Below are 19615 nucleotides of genomic sequence, written 5' to 3' on the forward strand. Positions count from 1 at the left end.
GCCCGGAGTTTGAGAGCAGCCTGGCCAACTAGCAAAACCCCACCTCTACTAAAAAATACAAAAAAGTAGCTGGGCATGGTGGTGCACGCCTGTAATCCCAGCTACTCAGGAGGCTGAGGCACTGGGTTCAATCACTTGAACCGGGGAAGTGGAGGTTGCGGTAAGCTGAGATCGCCCCACTGCACTCATGCCTGAGAGACAGAGCGACACTCTGTCTTGAAAGTAAAATAAATAAATAAGGCTGGGCACAGCAGCTCATGCCTGTAATCCCAGCACTTTGGGAGGCCAAGGTAGGTGGATCATCTGAGGTTAGGAGTTTGAGACCAGCCTGGCCAACACAGTGAAACCCCATCTCTACTAAAAATATAAAATTAGCTGGGCATGGTGGCACATGCCTGTAATCCCAGCTAATTGGGAGGCTGAGACAGGAGAATCACCTGAACCCGGGAGGTGGAGGCTGCAGTGAGCCAAGATAGCAACGCAGCACTCCAGCCTGGGCAATGGAATGGGACTCCATCTCAAAATAATAAATAAATAAATAAATAAATAAATAAATAAATAAAAATTTTTTGGCTGGGCGTGGTGGCTCACACCTGTAATCCCAACACTTTGGGAGGCAGAGGTGGGCAGATCACGTGAGGTCAGGAGTTCGAGACCAGCCTGGCCAACACAGTGAACCCATTCTTTACTAAAAACACAAAAATTAGCCGGGTGTGGTGATGGGCGCCTGTAATCCCAGCTACTCGGGAGGCTGAGGCAGAATAATCCTTTGAACCCGGGAGGTGAAGGTTGCAGTGAGCCGAGATTGCACCAGTGCACTCTAGCCTTGGCAACACAGTGAGACTCCATCTCAAAAAAATAAAAAATAAAAAATTTTTAAAATAAAGGTATTATCTTTGAAATGGCAGTCCTCAGCATAATGACAAATTGCATAGTATGCACACTCTGTGTCGAATTTCTCTTCTTTTAGTGAAAAACAGGAAAATCAAATTACACTTCAGCAACAAAAACAGCAGTCATTACCACTGAAGTGGCATCTATGGTCCAGGTGCTAGGATAAATTCTTCATATGCATTTATGTACTTGTATTTTAAAATTTTATCCTCACAACTCCTCTGAAACAATTATGCCCCTTTTACAAAAGAGACACTAAGTCTGAAAAATTAGATTACAAAGCTAGTAAATGGCAGTGCTTCAATTTAAATGCAGCCCAATTTCCATTCCTCAAAACCATTCGATCTCTGAGGAGTTACAATGTGCCAGTTGTTTAAAATATTATCTCTTTTAGTGTAAACAGAAGTTCCAAAATCCACATGTATGAAATTTTAAAATGTGAGACTCACTTGCCCAATGACGATGACGCACAGGCAACAAGAGGCAGCACTGGGGTATGTAAAAATGGTCTAACTTTGCTGTCCCATACTGTTTCCAACAGCTGTTACAATACAATCACACTGGACATTTAATGTTTCAGCTTGTAATCTTAAAAGACATTAGGACAAGATTGTCAAACAGTGATGAAACTGGAGTAACAACCTGATAGATACATAGTATTCAAAAAAAATGAAATCTCACATTAGCTTTGGACTGCTTTCATAATTGGCAACTTTTGGCTTGTTTTACACATCGTAAATTACAAACTTTACACATGGTAAATATTGTTAACTTCTTTTTTTCTTTTTTTCTTTTTGGAGACAGACTCTTACTCTGTCATGCAGGCTGAAGTGTAGTGGCATGATCTCAACTCACTGCAACCTCCGCCTCCCAGGTTCAAGCGATTCTCATGCCTCAGCCTCACAAGGAGCTGGGATTACAGGCGCATGCCACCACCCCAGCTAATTTTTGTATTTTTAGTAGAGACAGGGTTTCAGCATGTTGACCAGGCTAGTCTCGAACTCCTGACTCCAGCCGACTATATTGTAATTTCTTATTTTGTGAAAAAACACTTCCCCTCCATACAAAATATAACTCATTTTAAAAAGCTATAATGTTGCTAGGTGAGGTGGCTCACGCCTGTAATCCCAGCACTTTGGGAGGCCGAGGTGGGTGGACCACTTGAGGTCAGGAGTGTGCAACTAGCCTGGCCAACATGGTGAAACCCTGTCTCTACTAAAAACACAAAAAAGTAGCCGGGTGTGGTGACTCATGGTTGTAATCCCAGCTATTTGGGAGGCTGAGGCAGAAGAATTGCTTGAACCCGGGTGGTGGAGGTTGCAGTGAGCCGAGATCATGCCACTGCACTCCAGTCTGGGTGACAAGAGCAAAACTCTGCCTCAAAAAAAAAAAAAAAAAAAAAAGCTATAATGTTTATCAGCCAGCTCAGAACCTAGTACAACACTATATATATATTTATATAATATATAATATGTATAGTACATAATATACAATATGCATATTATATATTATATACGTATAAAATTTATACGTATATAATATATTTTATATGTATATAATATGTATATAATATATATTATATACGTATAAAATATATATTATATACGTATAAAATATATTATATACATGTATAAAATATATATTATATATTATATGCGTATATAAAAAATATATAAAATATATAATATAAAACCGATATTCAAGCATTGTATCTTTCTTTTTTCTTTTTTTTTTGAGATGGAGTCTCACTCTGTCACCCAGGCTGGAGTGCAGTGGTGTGATCTTGGCTCACTGCCACCTCCATCTTGTGGGTTCGAGCGATTCTCCCGCTTCAGCCTCCCAAGTAGCTGGGATTACAGGCACGTGCTGCCACCACATCCAGCTAATTTTTGTATTTTTAGTAGAGATGGGGTTTCACCAAGTTGGCCAGACTGGTCTCGAACTCCTGACCTCTAGTGATCAGCCCACCTCAGCCTCCCAAAGTGCTGGGATTACAGAGGTGAGCCACTGCACCTAGCCGCATTATATATTTTCTGACTGATAATGGAGTAAGTCCTATGCTGGACACATGGAAAACAGGTCGGGCATGGTAGCTTGAACCTGTAATCTCAAACCCTTTGGGAGGCCAAGGCAGGAGGATTAACTGAGGTCAGAAGTTCAAGACTAGTATGGACAACATGGTGGAGCCCCGTATCTACAAAAAAACACACAAATTGGCCAGGCGTGGTGGTGTGCACCTGCCATCCAGCTACTAGGGGGGCCGATGTGGGAGGATACCATAAGCCCAGGAGGTCAAGAATGCAGTGAGCCAAGATTGTGCCACTCAATTTCAATCTGGGTGACAGAGTGAGACTCCTCAAAAACAAACAAATAAATAAAATAATCTCTAAAAGTTAAAAACAAGAAAACAAGGTCTGGATTTCTATTTGGCCCAACTGGGAGAAAGGGGTGACATGGCAGTTCAACTAACTTTGTGTGTAACCCCATCCTGTCAATACATCCTGTCACTACCTCTGCAGGTCCCTAACTTTTGTAATATCACACACGAGAAAGAATTTTAAAGACCAAATCACCCTTAAATTCCGACAAGCGGCACTATCTTCAGCACATTTTTGTAGAGTCAAGTAACCATTTATGTCTACCCGATTTAAACCTTTGCTATTAAAGCTCCTACAGCAAATCAACTAAATAGTTTCACCTCTTTTGTCCTACAGGGAATCTAGCAACTGCCGCAAAACTGTGAAAGTGGCATGACCAGGATAAAGGAACTAACTGAAAGTGTAAGGCAGATTGAAGCCAAACCTTTTTTTTTTTTTTTTTTTTTTTTTTGGAGACACTGTCTCGCTCTTCTTGCCCAGGCTGGAGTGCAGTGCAGAGGCGCTATCTTGGCTCACTGCAACCTCTGCCTTCCGAGTTCAAGCAATTCTCCTGACTCAGCCTCCTGAGTAGCTGGGATTATAGCCTCATGCCACCACACCCAGCTAATTTTTGTATTTTTAATAGAGACAGGGTTTCATCATGTTGGCCAGGCTGGTCTCGAACTCCTGGCCTCAAGTGATCCACCGGCCTCGGCCTCCCAAGGTGCTGGGATTAGAGGCGTGAGCCACCACGCCTGGCCTGAAGCCAAACTTTTACGCTTTGAGGAAAAAACTACAAAATAAATTGGGCAGTAAACATAATCTGAATAACAAAATAAAAAATGAAAGCAAGATTAACCTATCACATCCTAAACTATCATAGTAGTAACATAGCTATTTTGAAATGACAAAAACAAAATCTAAAATATAACTTGCATGATTTGAGGGCCTAAAGTAAAATGGCAAAGTAAAAACGTATATACCAGAGAAAGACAAGACTATAAACATTTATGTAGCATAAATTTGTATAAGCCCAAAAATTCTTAATGAAACCCTCTGAGATATGTTTCAGAATTCACAATTTTCAGATTTTAGAAGAGTAAAACGTTGCATATACTATTTATTAAGTTAAACCTCCCAGTGGCTTCTGGAACAGTATTTCACAATCACAGAAACATTTTGTGCAATGAAATGTAAGCAGATTCACATCAAATGGGATAAGTCAAGACTATAAATAACTTTTGCCACCAAACTTAAGAAGAAACTTTCAGTTTTCAGAACTTTTTGTATTTGAGAATTCTGAGGATTTTGGATGATAAATTGGCTTTCTCCTCCAAAGGCAAATTGGTCTTTATAAGGGTTTGCAATTTTCCTTTTCCTCCAAAGGCAAACTAGTCCCTATAATGGTTTGCAATTTTCCTTTTTAAGTTCAGAAATACCTCCCAAACAAAAACAAATCCCACTTAATAATTAGTTTCTTTTCTTTGAGACAAGGTCTTGCTCTATCGCCCAGGGTGGAGTGCAGGGGCAGTCATGGTTCACTGCAGCCTCAACCACCTGGGTCCAAGCAATCTTCCTGCCTTGGCCTCCCAAAGTGCTGGGATTACAGGCGTGAGCCACTGCTCCCAGCCTAAGGAAATTTTAAAATCATTTTGCCAAAATACTTTATGGCTGAGTAACTTTTCCCCTTAAACATTCACAAGAGCTACGATAAAATGTTAAAAAAAAAAAAAAAAAAAGCTTAGTTATAAAATTTCTGTTGCAAGGGAGGGGAAGATTAAGAAGATATGCCAAACTGAAATGTTTCCAGCAACAACCTCTTCCCAATTGCATGGAGTATCTTAATCACAGGCCATGCCTTGTATTGTTTGCAAGTGTTTTAGCTTCTCTTCTATTAAACTGACATTTTACTAACAAAATCATTTTTCTGAAAGGCCTTGCACATTGTCTTAAACACAACAGTCATACAATAGGTCACTCTGAGTTTTTTGTTTCTGTTTTTGTGGCAGGGTCTTACTCTATTGCCCAGGCTGGAGTGCAGTGGCACAATCTCAGCTCAGTGCAACCTCTGCATCCTGGGTTCAAGTGACTCTCCTGCCTCAGCCTCCTGAGTAGCTAAGGTTACACGTGCCCAACACCATGCCCAGCTAGTTTTTGTATTTTTAGTAGAGATGGGGTTTCACCATGTTGGCCATGCTGGTCTCGAACTCCTGACCTCAAGTGATCCACCCGCCTCCACCTCCCAAAGTGCTGGGTTTACAAGAGTGAGCCATCCCACCTGGCCCAATAGGTCACTTTGAAAAATTACTACAAAGATAATTCACATTCATTATAATAAACCTAGAATATGCCAAAGGTATATTTTTCAAATATCTTACATTAATTATCTAAAGATGAACAGAATAAACAATTCCGGCACACTCCTTCAGGCAGGTGTGCCTACAAACACAAGACTGTCAAAGGTAATTTAACTGGGTTCTTAATGAATTACCTTTCTATTCTACCAGTAAAAAGAAAATAGTCCTGCTTAACTCTCAGCACCGTTGTGAGAATCAAATAAAGCAATGTAGAAGTTTTCCGAAAACTGAAAAGTATATAAAATAATCTAGAAACTGACCAGCAGAGAGATGAATAAAAATGATGCTAAATTTCAAGCTTTAGTTTAGATTAGTTAGTTCTTAACTTCAGGTGTATGTAAGAATCACCTGGGGAGCTTTTAGAAAATACATACTGATGCCTGGGCCCCCAACATAACAACCCAAACCAACTCTATGGGGAGTGAAAGCCTGCTATCTGTATTTTTTAAAATTCAAATGACTAACGCAGAGTGCAGATCATGAGCCACTAAGACAAGTGAATCTATTTACAGAAGCTGTTGAGAAGAATATAGACGGAAGGTTATTGTTTTTTGATTCTCCAGACTACAGAAATATTTAAGTTCTATCTACCTTCAACAAAACACCATGTATGGTGTGAATCTATTTTAGTTGTTGAAAAGGGGGGAAAAAACCTTTAAACATAAACCTCCTGTAAGTACTTGCACATACACCTACACAACTTAGATCAACATGTGTTGTAATATGAAATGTGCTTTATGTGGTTGATTACTATATTAGATTAACTTTTAGAAAGCTTTACAGAGTAAACATGTACTTAATTATAAACATGTATATATATCATATGTAAAATGCTACATATGATAAATTCAGGGTGGTGGGATTACGGGTAATCTTCACTTTTTTGTACTTTTCTGGATTACCTTTTTTTTTTTTTTTCTTTGAGTCAGGGTCTTGTTCTGTCACCCAGGCTGGAGTGCAGCAGCACCATTTCGGCTCACTGCAACCTCCTCCTCCCAAGTTCAAGTGATTCTCCTGCCTGAGCCTCCAGAGTAGCTGGGATTACAGAACATGCTACCACACCTGGCTAATTTTTGTATTTTTAGTAGAGAGGGGGTTTCACCATGTTGGCCAGGCTAGTCTCGAACTCCTGACCTTGTGATCCACCCACCTCGGCCTCCCAAAGTGCTGAGATTATAGGTGTGAGCCACCGCGCCTGGCCAAATGTATGTTTTAATGGCTGCGATAAAAGGGCTAATTTTGTGAAATGAAAATGACATATACAACCTCTGAGGTTGGACAGTATTCCAGCAAGGTTCAGAGGCTTTTCAACACAGCATCAATGTGGTAAAGAATAAAAGGATGATGCAATGATTCATGTGTTCTAAAAGTAAGTATATTTTACATATCAATGTGTAAGGAGAAGCCATTATGCTCTTGAGAGAGGCACCTTTAAAAAAAAGATAAAAACTATTAATCCCTGATATACCTGCTTCTTACAAAGAAATATGCAATTAAAATAGGCACCAAAAGAGATATTTCTTTTTTTTGTTTGTTTTCTGTTTTTTGAGACCAAGTTTCTAAAGATGAACAGATTATCTAAAGATGATGATCTTGTTGCCCAAGCTGGAGTGCAATGGCGCAATCTCAGCTCACTGCAACCTCTGCCTCCCAGGTTCAAGAGATTCTCCTGCCTCGGCCTCCCAAGTAGCGAGGATTACAGATGCGAAACACCATGCCCAGCTAATTTTTTGTATTTTTAGTAAAAACGGGGTTTCACCATGTTAGCCAGTCTGGTCTCAAACTCCTGACATCAGGTGATCCGCCCACCTCAGCTTCCCAAAGTACTGGGATTACAGGCGTGAGCCATGCGCCTGGCCCAAAAGAGGTATTTCTAAAAGCAGTTAAGAAAGCCCCAAAAAGGCCCTCAGTATTCATTCAACAAATATTTTTTGAGCACTTATTACGTGCCATGCTCTACACCAGGCATTACAGAGACAGAGGTAAATGAAAAACTATGTCCTGGCCTTCAGAGCTTTCAGCCTTTCAGGTACCTAAGAAATATCTATAACAATTATACGCCCAAAGTCCTCCTCAATGCCACAGTTCTGATTAAAGTGTTACTTAACATCTGAACATACTACAGCTGGAGGAAAAAAGCTAATTACAGTACACTATGATACTGTGTTATATGAAATGTGCTTTATATGGCTGATTACTACATTTAATTGATACCAGTTTTAGAAAGCTTTACAGAGTAAACATGTACTTAATTATAAATATGTAGTCTGTGGTATTTTCCACAAAAAATTATACATTAGATGTTTGGCCAAACCTATAACCTCAAAATATATTTGTTTCTATAGAAGAAAAATCAGATTGTACACATCATTTTTAGTCTTTTTAAAGCTGCCAGGTATTGCAAATTAGTTTTAATGTCGGTAAGTATTGCATTACATATAGTTCTAAATACTGTACTGATTAACCACATCACTTTTGCTGAAGTTAATTGGTGACTTTAAAGGTTGAAATTTTAAAAGAAAAGGATATGCCAGCATCAGGTAAACCAAAAGTCTTTAAATCTATAATCTCTAAAACAACCTAATGAGAAGTTAGCTCTACCTGTTTAACTACTTTTTAAACACACACCCAATTAATATAACCGTAAACTTCAATGGGTGAAGCTTTCTCCTAAGTTACTTATTTAAAAGTTCATAACAAAGAGAGTGTGAAGACTCAGGAAAGCCATTCTAAGATACAAACATCTACTCTATTAACTACATGTAAAGGAATTTTATAAATATGTTGATATAAATGTCAGAGCCCACTATAACATTATCAACATTGTTTGTGCTTGTAATAGCTGCATTTAAAAAATATTCTAGGAGAAACTTAAAAATGTAGGTTCCTTTCCCTCTAACCTCTCTAAATAGAATCATTTTAACATACATTTTTAAAAGAAAGTTACCCTATAGTTATTTTATAAAAGAATAAGCTCAATGTTTCACCAAAGTATTTTTTCCATACCTATGAAGCTTCTCGTCATTTAACTTTTATTCACTACCTTAATATTGTCATAAGAATCATTTCTTTTCCTGACCAGCTATTATATATTATGTCTCGCTGATGTCTACATAATTACCTCTACGTAATCCCCTTCTTGGCACTTTTCGTTTTCTAATAATTTGTGCTGAAGAAAAACGATACTGATTTCCTATGAGCTTACCTGTTGCTTCCTTAAACATCATTTTAGTTAAACAGAAAGCATTTTCTTCTCATTTTTGTCTATATAATTATTAAATTTCAGAACTAAAAGAGCCTTACAGGGGACCTAGTAAAATTTCCAGTTTTACAAAAGAGAAAACAGGCGCACTGAAGGAAAAGTGGCATAACCAAGATGAAATTATTTTCAATGTAGATACCAGTAAGTAAAACAAGATCTGGCAAAAAGAATTGAATGTAGTAATTCAGCAACTTGATTGAAAAACTGATTATCAGCCAGGTGCGGTGGCTCACTTTGGGAGGCCGAGGCGGGAGGATTACCTGAGGTTGGGAGTTCAAGACAAGCCTGACCAACTGGAGAAACCCGTCTCTACTAAAAATACAAAATTAGTTTGGAGTGGTGGCGCATGCCTGTAATCTCAGCTACTCGGGAGGCTGAGGCAGGAGAATCGCTTGAAACCGGGAGGCGGAGGTTGCAGTGAGCCGAGATCACACCATTGCACTCTAGCCTGGGTGACAAGAGCGAAACTCCATCTCAAAAAAAAGAAAAGAAAAGAAAAACGGACATCACATTAAAACAATATTTAATATATCCTTGGTTTTCAAATCTGTTCATTATTGATATTTTAATAAGTTTCCCTATACAAATTTGGTTTCTAAAAGTTATTATTTAAACATCTTAATTCTTTTTTAAAATAGAGATAGGGTCTCACTATGTTGCTCAGGCTGGTCTTGAACTACTGGACTCAAGCGATCCTCCCACCTTGGCCTTTTGGGATTATAGGCATGAGCCACTGCACCCGGCCTAAAATAATCTTATCACTTTGTAAAATGGCAGAGAAAACATCTCTGCCATTTTAGAACTCTGCCATTTTAGAAGGCTAGAACTGAGTTGGTATGACGCATTTAAGCAAAACTGGCTCTAAAGATGATCAGTAGCGCTTGGAATTTGAGACAAGAGCATTCTTTAATAAGTAAACTGGGTTCAAAATCTCTCATATTAAAAATAATAAAAATAAAATAATTGAATCAATAAGCATCTTTATTGTAAATTAATTCAAACTGTTTGGAGTTGGAGATTTACATTATATTCTTTGTAATTCACAAGATTTTCATAACAATGATAGCCGGATTTCAAGAAGACTAGAGCTTTTTGTCATGCATCTCTTAGAATGAGGCCTGCTACAAACAAATGATTGAATGTTACAACTTCTTTTTTTTTTGAGATGGGGTCTCATGCTGGACTGCAGTGGAGTGACCTTAGCTCACTGCAACCTCCACCTCCTGGGTTCAAGCGATTCTCCTGTCTCAGCCTCCCCAGCCTCCCGAGTAGCTGGGACTACAGGCACGCGCGCCACCATGCCCAGCTATTTTTTTTTTTTTTTTTTTTGTATTTTTAGTAGAGATGGGGTTTGGCCATGTTGGCCAGGCTGCTCTCGAATTCCCGACCGCAGGTGATCCACCCGCCTCAGCCTCTCAAACTGCTGGGATTACAGGCGTGAGCCACTGCACCCGGCCCCCAAATGTTACAACTTCTAACTGAATACCTTAAGACCTCTTAACATCAGAGTTATGGAATAAAGTTCAAGTATAACCCATACAAAGAAAAAAATTAGCAAACATACTGATAAAAATAAATAATGTTTACTTATTTAAAATGTTGTGGTGGCACATGCCTGTAGTCCCAGCTACCAGGGAGGCTAAGGTGGGAGGGATCACTTAAGCCCAGGAGTTTGAGGCTGCAAAGAGCTAGGCACCACTGCACTCTAGCCTGGGCAACAGAGCAATACCCTATTAAAAAATATATATATATATCATATATGATATATATACACCTATATATAATCTATATATCATATATATAGATATATATACCTGTCATAAAATGTATTGAAAAAACCCTTAAAATTTTATATTGCTGAAATTATTTCTAATAATAAGAGATAAATGATGTTCCTAGTCAAAACTGAAAAAGGGATATACAGAGAAATTAAAAGTAGGTGAGAAAGGAATAAATCATGTTTATTTTCAATGCTAAAATAATAGTCAACTCAAACAACCTGGGACTATGATTAATACACAGTACCTGTCAAACTAGCACAGCATGCTAGGTAAAAGATATGAATCAAAACTACTGCAAGACACATGGTTAATTCCTGATATACTTATTTCTGAATTTCTATCGTTTTCCATTTTGAAATAGCCTCTGGTTTGTTGGCAGTCTTCTCATGACAAGCTTCTTTAAATACAGAAAATGTATCTCTCAAAGTGATACACTGAGTCAGAGTTATCTTAAAAGCTACCTTTAAGATAACTTTTTTACTTCTCTAAACTACATCCCCACCTCTCCCAGGGAATGCTTATTAGCCCTTTTCAATTTCCTTTGGCACAAACAGGGGACTCTCCTAACCTAGGAAGACTTAAAATAGTGAGTTGTCCTCATCTCTGATACCCAGGTGTGCTTAAGATCAAAATTTAATATTCCCTTTTCAATATTAATCCATTCATTTTATTTTAGTTGCAATCATTCAGTGGTTGGGAGTAACACTTGGATCACTTAAAGCAGTAAAGAAAATTAGATTACAAAAAATGCAGCAGCTGTTCATGACAAACTCTGCATGAAAATTGTAGGTAAAGACCAGAATCCAGATATATCATGTCCACCCTCTGCCACTGTCCTTATAGGAGGGAGAAATTTGCAGTTATTCAAATAAAGGTTTCATTTACCAAGAAGCTTTAAAAAATACCTAAGTTCCATTCATACTGCAAAACGTTCATTTAAAACCACTTTTAGCTAGTCACTAAATCATTATATCCTAGAAATAAATATATTTTGCTCTAGCTTAAAAGTTAAAAATAAGAATCTTTAACATCCCTATAATTTAAAACTTTTTTAAGCTAATTAATCATGGATTTTTCCCTCTACCTTGTTAGTATGATTGGTGAGGTCTTTTTGAATTTCACTAAAAATTAGGAGGTATAATGGCATAAATGCAAATTAAGTTCACCAAGTCAAACAAAGTACTAAACATAAAGGTTATAGAATTTTAATATACTAAAGAAAACAGCAAGGAGGCAAGGTAAAAGATTTGGTAGGAATTCCATCAAAACTCTGCCAATTGTGGGGCAAGGTAGACATGTGTTAAACTGTATTTTATTCAGGTCTTCACACTATGAAGCATCATTACACAACTTGACTTTGTAATTTTTTCCGGAAGCAATAAAGAACTGTTCTCACTTTCTAATCAGCTTCAGCCGAATCTTAAGGGCTACAAGTCACCCAAAGCCTGGCAACAGTAACTTTTCTTCCTTGACCCAAGAAGGCAGACTGCCAGAGGGAAATAGCAAAGAGTAGCACTATATAAACAGGGCAAGAGGCACAAGAGCAGAGGCAAGTTATATAACCAAAATATATTTTAAAACATGTTCATAACTCGTAACAACCTTTGCCTTTAGTTGGTTTCTTGTTTGGAGTATCAGTTGAAACAGTTAATTCAATATTATCTGGATCGCCTCCTTCCTCTTCAATAGCCTACATTAGAAAGAGAAGTTAATATGCTACACAATCTATCTAAACTTATTTTATAAAAACGAAATGAAAAAAAATTTAGCAAACCTCAAGCCTCAAGACATTAGAATTGCCAGTCATTTCATCAACCGACTTCAAAAATGAGCAATTAAACTACACGAAAGAGTGAGAGAAACTTTCAGGGGAAAAAAATCATTAGGTATCAAAATCGCAAGGAGTTTTAAATTCTACCGTGTCAAGATAATTAAATATCACATCATACTGGCCAAAAATCCAAATATGTTCTATTGCAGAAAAGTTGCTAGCTACTAAAGTAAATAACTAAAAAGAGTTTTCCTAGTTTCTGTAATGCAAACTTACTGCTCCTCTGCTACAATTCCAACGCTCACTCAAACCAGAAAGCTAATCAGGAAAGAAAAAGTAATTATTGCGCTGATGCAAAAACTAAAAGCCTAGTGGAAAACAAAAACTCTGTCACCCACCCATCAACTCCCACTACCAATTCCCCCTCAAGATGGGGAAGAAACGGTTGGGCACAATTAAACGGTAACTTCGCAGAAGTCACCAAAGTAACCATTCCCTCTGAGGCCAAGAAATGCACACGCTCACCATGGCTAAAGGCTGGGGAGCCAGCGCCTCCCAGGTCTCCGCGATCGCCCTTGGGAGGCCGCGCCGGCCGGCCGCAACCCTCGCAGCCTGGCGGGGACGTCCCGGGGAGGCGGAGGCACGCTGGGCTGCGGTGGCCGGTCCCTCGCAGGCCCGGCCCGGCCCGGGGCGCGGGGCGGGGGCACCGCGGAAGGGTCCCCGTCCTCCACGCTCGCGGGAGCCGCCCCTGGCCTCCCTACCATGCCGTTCCGCAGGTCCCAGCGGCTGCGGGCAGCCGGAGGCTGCGGCGGAAGCGGGGCGCCGAGGCGCGGCCTAAGTTCCCCTTCCCGGTCCTTTCCGGTCCTCGCCGGGCCTCACCTGCTTGAGTCGGGAGATGAGCACGGTCTTGACTCCGGTGATGTCTAAGTTCCGCCGCTTCAGCTCGGACTTCAGATCGATGACCCGCAGATCGGTGATCTTTTTACCTTCCGCCTGACCCGAGGCGGCCGAGGCTGCCACCGCACCGGTAGCGGCAGCCATCTTAGAAGAGCAGCGCGCTGCCGAGGCAGCGAGTGGGCTGCAGGGCGGCGGCAGCAGCGCCAACTTCCACCCAGGCCTCGGCGGCCGCCGGCGCCGCGCAGCGCTGCGCACAATGAGCCGCTGGCCCCTCCCCCGGTCCGCCACCCTAGCGCAACCTGCAGCAGCAGCCGCCAGCACCCGGATGACGGCCGCGCGTGCGCGTTGGCGCAGGGACCGGCAGCGGCGCGCTCGGTCGAGCGGGCCGCGGCCACTTGGGCGGTGCGCTCCCTTGTGTGGACTGGGAGGTCGGGCACGTCCTACCGCAGCAACGTCCGCCGCGCCGCCGTTCTCTCGTCGCTTCGTTAGCCATTTTCTTGCAACGTCTTGAGTCTTGAGCAACAACGATGTGCGGGCACTGAATGACATAGTGCGCGCGTTACTCAACACAAACCGAGGGGGCGCGTGCGCGCGCTGAACCTCTCAAGGAAATACTTTATCAGTTCTGCTGAATAATCGAAAAATTGTCGCCGGTGTGCACCAACGAACTAGGTTCCCCGAGTTCCATTCAAAAGACCTCAAAGCAGTTCTAGGGCTGTTAGTCCAAAGAATAGGAAGGGCTGGCCTTTGACACATGGCTCATTGGCTGTCTCAGGAGAAAACATCATCGCCCTGCCCATGGCAGCTTAGGTTATTCTAGGGCTGCCCTTCCTCACTTGAAAAACAGGAAAACTTCTTTCTTGTTGGCCTCAGGTTTGCTATCCTCCCCGGTAGACCTGATGGCTCAACACGAAATTGTTCAATGAAAGAGAAAACTAGCTTATAAGTACTTGTTGCCGTTATCATATACTGTGTTCACTATTTTGCCCCCCAAAATTTGGGATTCCAAGAACAGTGAGCATCTTCTTATGGAGGATCGGCCTGTACAAGTGAGTACCTATTTGTAATTTTACCTTGTATTATTCATTATCAAAGTGCAAGCATTGATAAAATAAAACGATTCTATAAATTCCATAAGGTGATTATGATGCACAATTAACTATACTGTATTTCCTGGTTTTACAACTTAAATTCCTGAGATCTGACTCACTTTAGGTTACTTTTTCTGATTGGCTCAAAAAAAAGGAAGACTGGACATTATAAAAGAATACCTGACATTAGGGTAGTTCTTTACAGTTTATAAGGCACTTTGACGTACAGTAACCCCCTTAATCCTTCCCAAGTCTGTCAAGTAAATCTCCGTGAGGCTTAGAGAGATTAAATGACTTGCCCATGTTCACACAGCTGGTATGTGGCCGAGCTGTGCTCAAATCCCAGGCTCCTGATTCCAAATCCAGCTCTGTCTCTGCTACAACATTGGATTCACAATAATAGAAGTTTAGAATGCAAGACTCCTTAGAAATCTTCTGGCCCATCACTTGAGGTCAGGAGTTCAAGACCAAACTGGCCAAGATACAGGGTTTAGTAGAAACCCCGTCTCTACAAAAAATACAAAAATTAGCCGGGTGTGGTGGTGAGCACCTGTAATCCCCGCTACTCGGGAGACTGAGGCAGGAGAATCACCTGAACCCGGAAGGCAGGGGTTGCAGTGAGATCCGGCCGCTGCACTCCACCCTGGGCAACAGAGCAAGATCCTGTCTCAAAAAAAAAAAAAAAGTCTGGGTGCTGTGGCTCATGCCTGTAATCCCTGCACTTTGGGAGGCTGAGGTGGGTGGATCACTAGAGGTCAGAAGTTCAAGACCAGCCTGGCCAACATGGTGAATCCCCATCTCTACTAAAAATACAAAAAATTAGCCGGGCATGGTGGTGCATACCTGTAATCCCAGCTACTTGGGAGGCTGGGGCAGAAGAATCGCTTGAACCCAGGAGGCGGAGGTTGTAGTGAGCTGAGATCACGCCATTGCACTCCAGCCTGGGCAACAGAGCTAGACTCCGTCTCAAAAAGAAAAAAAGAAAAAAAAATCTTCTGGCCCAGCCCTCAAGATTTTAAGAGATTTATCTGGGAACTTACAGTTACACTCTCTCTTTTTTTTGTTTTTGTTTTTATTTTTATTCTTTTGACAGGGTCTCACTGTGTCACCCAGACTGGAGTGCAGTGGCGTGATCATGGCTCACTGCAGCCTCAACCTCCCAGGCTCAAGTGATCCTCCCACCTCAGCCTCCTGAATAGCTAGACTACAGGCGCCTGCCACTATGCCTGGCTAATTTTTGTATTTTTTGTAGAGACAGGGTTTCACCACGTTGTTGCCCAGTCTGGTCTCAAACTCCTGGGCTCAAGTGATCCTTCCCCCTCAGCCTCTCAAGTAGCATGCCAGCACACCCAGCTAATTTTTCTTTTCTTTTCTTTTTTTTTTTTTTTTTTTTGTAGAGACAGGGTCTCACTATGTTGCCCAGGCTGGTCTCAAATTCCTGGTCTTACACTATCCTCCTGCTTCAGCCTCCCAAAGTGCTGGGATTACAGACGTGAGCCATCACACCTAGCCCGAACAGGCTTTTAAACCTTTCCTACCTTGAAACATCTTCATTTGACTCAGCTATTTCCTTTTGACAATAGTTACATTATTGTGTACTTATCTTAATGAAAAGCACATAGGTTATATTAAATAGTGATGGGGAGATAAATCATATAGATGTCTCTCTGAAGATAATGAAGATGTTTGACAAAACACTTTGAAACTTTTTTTTTTTTTGAGATGGAGTCTCACTCAGTCGCCCAGGCTGGAGTGCATTGGCACAATCTCGGCTCACTGCAAGCTCCGCCTCCCGGGTTCACGCCATTCTCCTGCCTCAGCCTCCCGAGTAGCTGGGACTACAGGCACCTGCCACTATGCCTGGCTAATTTTTTTGCATTTTTAGTAGAGATAGGGTTTCACCGTGTTAGCCAGGATGGTCTCGATCTCCTGACCTCATGATCCGCCCGTCTCGGCCTCCCAAAGCGCTGGGATTACAGGCGTCAGCCTCTGCGCCCGGCCTACATTTTGAAACTTTTTAAAACATAAAAACCATAAAAGAAATAACAAGGTAATGAGAAATTACTGGGCCAAAATTTGAGAGAAGGCTGAAATCTAGAGAGATGAGACCACCATTTGGAATAAAAGAAGCTGTTTGCTAATGCTGAAAGACAGGTGAGATTTGAGCACCACTTTTGGGTGATTTAAGGGATAAAAGGTGGAGCCGAGTCTGCCAAAGGAAGGGGGCCTGATTTGCCATCCCAAACTTAGTTTTTTTGTTGTTGTTTTTTGGGGTATTTTTGTTTACTTTGTTTTTTTTGAGACGGAGCCTTGCTCTGTCACTCAGGCTGGAGTGTCGTGGCCCAATCTCAGCTCACTGCAACCTCCACCTCCCGGCTTCAAGTGATTATCCTGCCTCAGCCTCCTGAGCAGATGGGATTACAGTCATGCGCCACCGTGCCCAGCTAAATTTTTGTATTTTTGTAGAGACGAGGTTTCACCATGGTGGCCAGGCTGGTCTTATGCTCCTGACCTCGCTGTTCTCGAACTCCTGACCTCGAGTACTCTGCCTGCCTCGGCCTCCCAAAGTGTTGGGATTACAGGCATGAGCCACCGTGCCTGGCCCCAGACTTACTTTTGAGACACTAAAGGACTGCTCTCTAGAAGAAAACATGAACTTAGAGTAAGGAAAGCCTTGCAAAGACTGCAGCCATCTTGATGTCATGCTAATGACATGAAGTCATGTTGTAAGACCTAACGGTGTCATATTAATGCCACTGCTACCTAGCAGAAGCAAATGTAAATTATCCTTGAAGGGACATACAACAAATTACCTATGTTCACAAGTTGCTTTTACAAATATTTTTTAAATTACAGTGTCTAGGCCAGGCACGGTGGCTCACGCCTGTAATCCCAGCTCTTTGGGAGGCCGAGGCGGGAGGATCACCTGACGTCAGGAGTTCGAGACCAGCCTGGCCAACATGGTGAAACCCCGTCTCTACTAAAAATACCAAAAGTAGCCAAGCATGGTGACAGGCGCCTGTAGTTCCAGCTACTCAGGAGGCTGAGGCAGGAGAATCGCTTGAACCGGGTGGCAGAGGTTGCGATGAGTTGAGATTGCACCACTGCACTCCAGCCTAGGCAACAGAGCAAGACTCCATCTAAAACATAAATAAATAAATAAATATCTGCCTCTTAGGACACAGAATAGAGGATTGGAGAAGGGAGAAATTGGAGATATCCAGCACAGACAGTGAGGGACAGACAGAATTCAGAGAGAAATCCAAAATAATTGTAGTTGAAATTTCAGAAAGAAAAGAGAATGGGGTCAAACCAATCTCTGAAGAGATCATAGATGAAAATTTTCTAAAATTTAAGAAACATATCGATCCATAGATTCAAGAAGTTCAACAAAGCCCAAGTAGGATACATTTTAAAATCATGCAAGACACATCATAGTGAAACTACAGAAGAAGATCAAAGAGAAAATCTTAAAGGAGGCAGAGAAAAACATTAGATTGCCTTCATAGGAGCAAATATAAGATAAATGTTTACTTTTTTTTTTTTTTTTTGAGATGGAGTCTTGCCACTGGAGTGCAGTGGTGTGATCTTAGCTGACTGCAACCTCCGCCTTCCAGGTTCAAGCGATTCTCCTGCCTCAGCCTCCTGAGTAGCTGGGACTGCAGGTGTATGCCACCATGCCCAGCTAATTTTTGTATTTTTAGTAGAGACAGGGTTTCACCGTGTTGGCCAGGATGGTCTCTATCTCTTGATCTCGTGATCTCATGATCTCCTAGCCTCAGCCTCTCAAAGTGCTGGGATTATAGGCATGAGCCACTGCGCCTGGCTGAATGTTTACTTTTCTTTTTTCTTTTTTTGAGACAGAGTCTTGCTCTCTTGCCCAGGCTGGAGGGGAGTGGCACAATCTCGGCTCACTGCAAGCTCCGCCTCCCGGGCTCATGCCATTCTCCTGCCTCAGCCTCCCGAGTAGTTGGGACTAGAGGTGCCCGCCACCACGCCCAGATAATTTTTATATTTTTAGTAGAGATGGGGTTTCACCTTGTTAGCCAGAATGGTCTTGATCTCCTGACCTCATGATCCACCTGCCTCGGCCTCTCAAAGTGCTGGGATTACAGGTGTGAGCCACCGCGCCCGGGCCTTTTTTTTTTTTTTTTTTTTTTTTTTTAGAAGGAGTCTCACTCTGTCTCCCAGGCTGGAGTGCAGTGCTGCGATCTTGGCTCACTGCAACCTCCACCTTACGCATTCAGGTGATTCTCCTGCCTCAGCCTCCTGAGTAGCTGGGATTACAGGCGCACACCACGATGCCCAGTTAGTTGTATTTTTAGTAGAGATGGGGTTTTGCCATGTTGGCCAGACTGGTCCCGAACTCCTGACCTCGTGATCCACCCACCTGGGCCTCCCAAAGTGCTGGGATTACCGGCGTGAGCCACTGCACCCAGCGAATATTTACTTTTCAACAGCAAAAAAGGAAATCAGAAGATAGCAGGTTGATGTCTTACCCATACTTAAATAAAATTATAGCTAATAGCAAATAATAACTGAGGGAATTAACAATGGGTAGATCTTCATTAAAGGAAATACTAAATGATATCTTGAGAAAGAAGAAAATGATCACAGAAAGGTCAGAGATGCATGTCCTAATTTCTAGGGTAGTCACTAGTCAAATATTAAAAGACTCTATAACTTTCAAACTAAGATTAAAAAAATCCTCCAGAGAACAAGACAGAAGAGGGGACATAGAATCAGTGGGATAATAGAAAGCATGCTGTAAGATAAACATTTAAAAACAAACATAAAAGCAATTACATTAAAGATTAATGGGTTAACTATTCCAGGTAAAAGATAATTGTCAGTCCAGAAGTTTTTTAACTAGTTAGAAGAACACATTTAAGAAATATACAAAAATGGGCCAGGTGCAGTGGCTTACACCTGTAATCCCAGCACTTTGGGAGGCCGAGGCAGGCGGATCACGAGGTCAGGAAATCGAGACCATCCTGGCTAAGATGGCGAAACCCCGTCTCTACTAAAAATACAAAAAATTAGCCGGTTGTGGTGGCACGCACCTGTAATCCCAGCTACTCCCAAGGCTGAGGCAGGAGAATCGCTGGAACCCGGGAGTCAGAGGTTGCAGTGAGCTGAGATTGCACCACTGCACTCCAGCCTGGGCTACAGAGCGAGACTCCATCCCAAAAAAAAAAAAAAAAA

At 41.7% G+C, this 19615-nt stretch overlaps 1 protein-coding gene across 25 annotated transcripts in view, besides 6 other annotated features; it reads right to left on the minus strand.

Moving 5' to 3' along the window:
• Positions 1-13577, minus strand: part of SLTM (SAFB like transcription modulator) — a 54630-nt gene extending 41053 nt beyond the window's left edge. For 17 of the 25 annotated variants that reach the window (NR_135042.2, XM_047433046.1, XM_017022578.2 and 14 more), the window contains exons 1-2: positions 13302-13577; positions 12254-12341 (exon numbers count right to left, since the gene is read on the minus strand). Coding sequence is in view for 20 of the 25 variants with exons in the window: in XM_047433046.1 (XP_047289002.1) it covers positions 12254-12341; positions 13302-13463 (250 nt within the window). In the remaining 5 variants the exon portion in view is untranslated. Of the gene's footprint in view, positions 1-1343; positions 2023-12253; positions 12342-12947; positions 13211-13301 lie in introns of those variants that run through there. The other 8 variants (XM_047433049.1, XM_047433048.1, XM_017022579.2 and 5 more) reach the window with 3 other exon arrangements.
• Positions 7280-7779: an enhancer, noted in NCBI's record as "H3K27ac hESC enhancer chr15:59219581-59220080 (GRCh37/hg19 assembly coordinates)". NCBI's record gives its function as "activates a minimal SCP1, AML or CMV promoter by ChIP-STARR-seq in primed H9 embryonic stem cells {active_cell/tissue: H9 hESC(primed)}" and the evidence as "EXISTENCE:reporter gene assay evidence [ECO:0000049][PMID:30033119]".
• Positions 12934-13193: a silencer, noted in NCBI's record as "silent region_6484". NCBI's record gives its function as "represses an Ori minimal core promoter by ATAC-STARR-seq in GM12878 lymphoblastoid cells {active_cell/tissue: GM12878}" and the evidence as "EXISTENCE:reporter gene assay evidence [ECO:0000049][PMID:35858748]".
• Positions 13244-13483: an enhancer, noted in NCBI's record as "active region_9480". NCBI's record gives its function as "activates an Ori minimal core promoter by ATAC-STARR-seq in GM12878 lymphoblastoid cells {active_cell/tissue: GM12878}" and the evidence as "EXISTENCE:reporter gene assay evidence [ECO:0000049][PMID:35858748]".
• Positions 13564-13743: a silencer, noted in NCBI's record as "silent region_6485". NCBI's record gives its function as "represses an Ori minimal core promoter by ATAC-STARR-seq in GM12878 lymphoblastoid cells {active_cell/tissue: GM12878}" and the evidence as "EXISTENCE:reporter gene assay evidence [ECO:0000049][PMID:35858748]".
• Positions 13774-13913: an enhancer, noted in NCBI's record as "active region_9481". NCBI's record gives its function as "activates an Ori minimal core promoter by ATAC-STARR-seq in GM12878 lymphoblastoid cells {active_cell/tissue: GM12878}" and the evidence as "EXISTENCE:reporter gene assay evidence [ECO:0000049][PMID:35858748]".
• Positions 13934-14023: an enhancer, noted in NCBI's record as "active region_9482". NCBI's record gives its function as "activates an Ori minimal core promoter by ATAC-STARR-seq in GM12878 lymphoblastoid cells {active_cell/tissue: GM12878}" and the evidence as "EXISTENCE:reporter gene assay evidence [ECO:0000049][PMID:35858748]".

This window comes from Homo sapiens, chromosome 15, assembly GCF_000001405.40.
Source record: "Homo sapiens chromosome 15, GRCh38.p14 Primary Assembly".
Lineage (NCBI taxonomy): Eukaryota > Metazoa > Chordata > Mammalia > Primates > Hominidae > Homo > Homo sapiens.